Below are 6,992 nucleotides of genomic sequence, written 5' to 3'. Positions count from 1 at the left end.
GTTTCCTTCTATCAATCTTTTTAAGCCAGTTGTCATTCTGTGATGACTAATTTGACCAGAGATAAATACATACTTCACAACTCCTCATAACTGAATTAAACTTCAGAGCAATTTGTTTTAATACATTGAAAGCAAACAGTGCTTTGGGGAGGGTTACTCTGTTAGCTCTTCTGCATTGGGGATCACCCTCTATTTTGTCTGATATATGACACAGTAAGGCTATCAGTGCCCACCCCTGAATTAATATTAGTAATGCTTAAAGTCTTTTTTCTAGATATAATATATATAGTATATAGTATATATATATATATAAATTTCTTCCCATCCCCCAGTGGATCATCTTGTACACCTCCGTGATGTATGGACCCCAGAGCCTGCATTTTGGGGACTCTTTCTCATCATCACTGGGTCAACTAATTCAGATCCCAGGCAGTCGGGAGGGTGTAGTTAGAAACTTAGCTGCACATCAGGATTCTCTGGAACTAAGGACCTAAAAATATGGATTCTTTGATAATAATGCCAGATATGTAATTCTGGCTAGAGCCTGGGAGATTGTAATTTTTGACTCACCTTAGTGATTCAGAGAAAGTGGTTGCCATCCACATTCATTTTGGAACAAGTGGTAGGGAAAGAACATTAGGTGGAATTAGGAAATTCAAGTTCAAGTATTTCCTTGCCAGATTACTTACATGGATAAGGCACTTGACTTCTCTTCATGTCTCTCTTCAGTCAAGTGAAAAGTCTGGGTGAGAAGTGATCTAGCTTAAGGTCTTTTACAGTGCTAGCATTCCATTAGTCACCCACATGGCAGAAGTTGTTTTTTCTTTTTCCCTCGATGGGTTGAAAATTGTTTATTGGAATTAATGTTTTCATTGCCCAGGATGTTTGTAACAGAAGATGATCTCTATCCTTATAAAAATGTAAAAATTCAGGTCCAGAGAAAATAATCCCTAAGAGTTAACCAGTATGTCAGTCCACAGTCAGAAATTGAGCCTAAGTTGAATTTAGTGACATCAATCTTTTGTTGTTCAATGGTAGATTTTTAAAAATTGAGAGGCATTGCATATATGGCAGTATAACAGTATAAATTGACAGTAATTGGTCAAGGCAGTGATTTTTGAGCAGGGCCCTGAGTAAACAAACTATATGGAAGAGCTCAACAGATTCTAGAAAGAAGGAAGAAGAAATATAGAGCCCCAGAGGCTTGGGAGAGGAATGAAAATGTGAGGGTGACTATAATGAGGTTGAAAAGCAGACGAGGTGGAGTTAGAGAAAGCCAGCAAGGGTAGAGAGTTTATGCTTAATGACTAGAAGTAAGCTAGAAAAATACAGGGAGAAATTGTATACCCAACTGGGTATTGATGCAGTATCTCTGAAGTTCAGTTAGGGGCCTGATTAACTCCACAGAAACTATATTGAGGCTTCATCTGCAGAAAGAGGCCTATAAAATACAGAAATCTGACATACAGCCAATCTTTGAGTCTAAGTGACCCTTAACTGCTATACCTCCCAGTAGCAGATTTTTAAACCAGTCAGGAAACCAAATATAACATAATCTCCACCACCAATCCATTTGTTTTGATTACTGTGATTGGCATAGAGCATCTGAAGAAAGAAATTGTACTCTTCGACGACCAACATGACTCATAAAATCCTGTTCCCTCTTTTATCCTTTGTATCTTATATTTCTTACAGTAAAGCAGTTGAATGAATTTTTCATTTGGTTCTTAGAAGAACTACAACTGTACTTTGAAGAAGTATGAAGGACTCTGAAGAACTGTGAAGGACTTCATGCCTCTGTGGTTGGGTGGTCAAGGTCATGAGATACTCAGAGGATCTCTGCAAGCAACTGCCTGCAGGAAAGCAGCTGCCTTCTTGGGATTTGCTGATTCATTTTGACTTTTTTTTTTAGTTTTTCTCTAGCTTCACTTCCAGCTGTTGCAGACACAAGAGATGAATGTCTGTTTGATCAAGAGGAAAGGAGTAAACTTTGTTCTCTCGTATTATTTCTCTGCATTAGTGAATGTGCTTGCTTCCTAAATCCTCATTAGCAAAGTATCTTCTTATGAAGAAATCTGTTCTGTCCTTGCCACTGGATCCATCTCTATAAAGACTCTAGCAAAAAGTTCTATAGGCACAATCTAATAATATGCAAAAATAAATGCATCTTAAAAAACAGCCTAAATTTATTTTTGTGCTGCTGTTTGGCCAGGAAAAGGGGGAAATGCCATTAGGTGTAATTTATTTTTGACCACTCTCAAAAAGGGCAAAATTGGGGAAGGTGCTTAGAATTTAATAAAAATGTAAATGTGCACCCTGTATGTAGATCAACATGTAAAATTAGAAAAGACAAAGCACTAGATATAAAACATATAACACCTAAATTTCCTCTATTATAAGCATCCTTTTGGTTAGAAAATGGAAAAAAAATCATATGCTTTTTTTATGTTGGTAAAATATGTAAATCATAATATATACCATTTTAACTCTTTGTAAGTGTATATTTCAGTGGCAGTAAGTACATTCTCTATGTTGTGTAACCACTGCTATTATTTCCAGAATGTTTGTATTCCAAAGAGAAACTACTCATTAAAAAATAATTCACCATTCCCCCTCCTCTTACCCCTGGAACCACTATTCTACTTTGTTTCTATGAATTTGACTATACTAGCTACCTCATGTAAGTGGAATTATACAGTATTTGCCCTTTTGTGTCTGGCTTATTTCATCTAATAATGTTTTAAGGTTCATCTAGGTCATGGATATATTCCTTTTTTAAAAATTGTGGTAAAATATGTGTAACATAAAAGTTGCTATCTTAATCATTTTTAATTGTACAGTTCAGTAGTGTTAAATACATTCACATTGTTATGAAACCAATATCCAGAACTCCTTTTATCTTGAAAAACTGAAACTGGATACTCATTAAACAACAATTCTTCATTTCCTTCTACCCCCTAGTCCCTGGCAACCACCATTCTACTTTTACTGTTTTTATGAATTTGACTACTATAGGTATCTCACGTAAGTGGAATCATACAGCGTCTTTTTGTGACTGGCTTATTTCGGTTAGCATGGTGTTAACATAAGTTCATCCATGCTATAGCATATGTCAGAGTTTTCTTTCTTTTTGTGGCTGAACAATATTCCATTGTATGTGGATACCATATTTTGTGTAGTCATTCTGTGGATAGATTTTTGCATTGTTTCCTCATTTGGGCTATTGTAAATAATGCTGACCCAAGACTTTATTTATTTATTTATTTATTTAGAGACAAAGTCTCACTATATTGCCCAGGCTGGAGTGCAGTGTCATGATCTCAGATCACTGCAACCTCCACCTCCTAGGTTCAAGGGATTCTAGTGCCTCAGCCTCCCAAGTAGCTGGGATTACAGGTTTGTGCCACCATGCCTGGCTAATTTTTGTATTTTTAGTAAAGACGGGATATCACCATGTTGGCCAGGCTGGTCTTGAACTCCTGACGTCAAGTGATCTTCCCACTTCAGCCTCCCAAAGTGCTGAGATTATAGGCGTGAGCCACCGTGCCCGGCCCCTAGACTTTTTAGAGTATATCATACACATACACTATTTACCTCACTCCACTTCCAACATTTGTGTCCAAAGTTGCCTTTCGAATGGAGCATATTATAAATGTCACATGATATAAAAAAATTTAAGTTGTGATTTGTCAGATATGATCAAGTATGGCTTTGTCTTGGTTCAAAAGAGAGAAAGATATGCTAGGGTTAGGAGTTTGGACATTGTTTGAGCAGGAATATGGTAATAGTGGCCATTTATTGGGTACTTACCATATGGTAGGAACTGTGAGTGCACTTTAGGCTTTCTAATTTGATTCTCATGAATTCCCATCTGTCCTCTGTTACATAGGAAAGAACAAATTCAGAGAGGTTAGAAACTTACTGAAGATTATACTTTTACTAAATGGCTGAGCTGAGCCTTCACTACCTGGGTCAGTTTGAGTCCAAAGCCTGAGTGCTTAAAAAATGTACTTTCCTCTCTATCAAACAATGGTTCCTTTACATTTGTCATTTTGTAATTTGTAGAACTCAGGATAGAGTGGGAAAGTTTGAAGGGAGCTATGATAACAGAGGTCAGACCGAAAGAGGCAATTTCCTGCATCCAGAAGGCAAGGATTATTTCTATAATGTGATTCTGGCTATTTCTGGGGGTTGGAGGGGACCCAAAGAAATCCTCAGGAATCCTCGTGAATAGTTTTTGGTTTTTGTTTTGTTTTTCTATGAGAAAACCATGCATTTAATAATTCTAGATTTTCTACAGTTGGTTAACAAGAGGCTAAAAATTTTTGTTTATAAAATAGATTTGGATGTGGATAATACAGACATAAGATTTTTGGAAAATGAATGACAAAGGATGATTTGATAACCCTAAAATAAGAACCTGAGCAAGAGGAAAATATAATTTTCTGGGAAGAGTAACAAGGCATACCTGAAACCCTCCAGAAAGTGGGCAGCTTCTTAAAAGTCAGTTTAAATGTAAAAGCTGACTGCATAGTGACTCATGTCTTATTAAAACACAACCCTTATTTATAAAGTTAAGACTCCATGTTGAAATTTTTTCTGTTTTATTGAAAAGACAAGGGCATGTGGGTTTTATGCTACCTATCAGTCTTCCAGGCCTTTGTTCTTCTTCTTCTTTTTTTCTGAGACGGTGTGAGAAGTTGAGAAAAAAGAACTCATCCAGATAATTCCTAGTTACCCAGAGAGGCTGGATGGTAAGTTTTAATTGTTTAAATGCTAATTTTGAAATCTTATGTACTCACCCTTGTAGCCACCATATCCAGTGCTCTTTTTCCTTTGTGTAGATCCATACTTTCATCTCGTGTCATTTTCCTTCCTCCTTTAACATTTCTTATAGTGTGCATCTGCTAATGAATTCTTCCAGCTTATGTATGTCTCAAAGGTCCAGTTGAAAAAAAAAATGTTTTCACTGAGTATAGTGTTTTTGGTTAACAGTTTTTCTTTCAGTACTTTAAATATGTTGTTCCACTGTTTTTTCATTTGCATAGTTTCCTGTGAGAAATCTGCTGCCATTCTTATTTGTCTTCCTTTCTATGTAGCATATCTTTTTGTCCCTCTTGTGACTGGTTTTAAGAGTGTGTTTCTTTCACTGTTTTTGATAATTTGATTATGTTGTGCCTTGGCGTCAGTGTTTTGGAGTTTTCTTTCATTTTGCTTGTAGTTGGTGTTTGATATTTTTGGAACTGGGAGTATAAGTCTTTATCAAATTTGGCACATTTTTATTATTTCTTCAAACATCTTTTTTGTTTTTCATCTTCTTTATTTTGGGGACTTTCATTAGGGAGCACAGATATTAGGCTGCTTGAAGTTTTTCCACAGTTCACTGATTATCTGACCTTTTTTTTTAAAAAAAAAAAGTCTCTTTTCCCTCTGTTTTATTTTGGATATTTTTTTTATTGCTGTGTTTCAAGTTCATTAATGTTTTTCTTCTGCTATGTCCAATTTGCTATTAATCTCATTTAATGTATTTTTCATCTCACATATTGCAGGAGTTTTTTTTTTATCTTTAAAAGCTCAAATTGAGTGTTTAAAAAAATATCTTCCATGTCTCCAATTAAAGTTTTGCCTATGTGGAATATAGTTATAATAACTTTTAATGATCTCATTATAGGTTATATTTTCTTGTTTCTTTACAATCTCAGTAACGTTTTATTGGATGCCAGACATTGTGAATATTACCTTACTGGGTGCCAGATATTTTCGTATTTCTATAAATATTCCTAAACTTTGTTCTAGAATACAATTAAGTTACTTGGGAAAGTTTGGTCCTTTTGATTCTTGCTTTTAAGATTTTTTAAGTATTCTTTTTTTATGATTTGTTAGGTGGGACTACAGCAGTGCTCAACCTAGGAGTAGTTATTCTCCACTGCAAGAACTATTCTATGCAATTTGGCCAGTGCCCCATGAACAATGAGTTTTTCAACCTTACCTGATAGAAACAAAGCTATTCCTGGCCCTGTGTGAAGACTAAGGGCAGTTGCTTGTAATCCTTCCAGCTTGTTTCTTCTTCAGTTTTAGATAATTTCTTTTTCTTTTCTTTTCTTTATTTATTTTCTTTTTTGAGACGGAATTTCACTGTTGTTGCCCAGGCTGGAGTGCAATGGCATGATCTTGGCTTACTGCAACCTCTGCCTCCTGGGTACAAGCGATTCTCCTGCCTCAGCCTCCCAAGTAGCTGGGATTACAGGCGCCCACCACAACACCTGGCAATTTTTTTTTTGTATTTTTAGTAGAGATGGGGTTTCACCACGTTGGCCAGGCTGATCTCGAACTCCTGACCTCAGGTGATCCACCCACCTCGGCCTCCCAAAGTGCTGGGATTACAGGCATGAGCCACCAAGCCTGTTTTAGATAATTTCTTCACACACATACTGATTAGTGCCCAGGTGAATACTGTGCATACAATTACAGGCCTTTGCCTCCAGAAAGTCCCATTTGAAATCTTTATATTGTTTTGAGTGATACTAAGTGATTACTTTTTCAGATTTTGAGTCGACACCTTAGGGCAGTGGTTCCCAACATGTGGTTGCTAGTCAATGGTATCAGTATCACCTGGGAATTTAATAAAAATGCAAATTATTAGGTCACAATTCAGACCTACAGAATTGGAAACTCAGGGTGAGGAGGCATAATGTAGAGCCAACAATATGTCTATTAACAAACCCTCTGGATAAATCTGTTAAATGCTAAAGTTTGAGAACCAGTGCTTTAGAATCATAGTTTGAGTAAGTGGGGGAAGGAGTCTTAGGAGACATTTTAAGTGCCCTTGAATCCTTGTAATCAGGCAGCTGTCAATCTTACCTGCACCCAGGTTGGCCCTAATCAGGCAGATGATTGAAGAAGACAGGAGTTACTTAAGCTGAAGAGAATATAGGGAATAGAAAACATCTTCTTGGAAAGTTTTTTGGTTAGAAAAATTCTCTCCAAATCCC

The sequence above is a fragment of the Homo sapiens genome, chromosome 2, assembly GCF_000001405.40.
Source record: "Homo sapiens chromosome 2, GRCh38.p14 Primary Assembly".
Lineage (NCBI taxonomy): Eukaryota > Metazoa > Chordata > Mammalia > Primates > Hominidae > Homo > Homo sapiens.
This window is presented reverse-complemented; position numbering follows the sequence as displayed.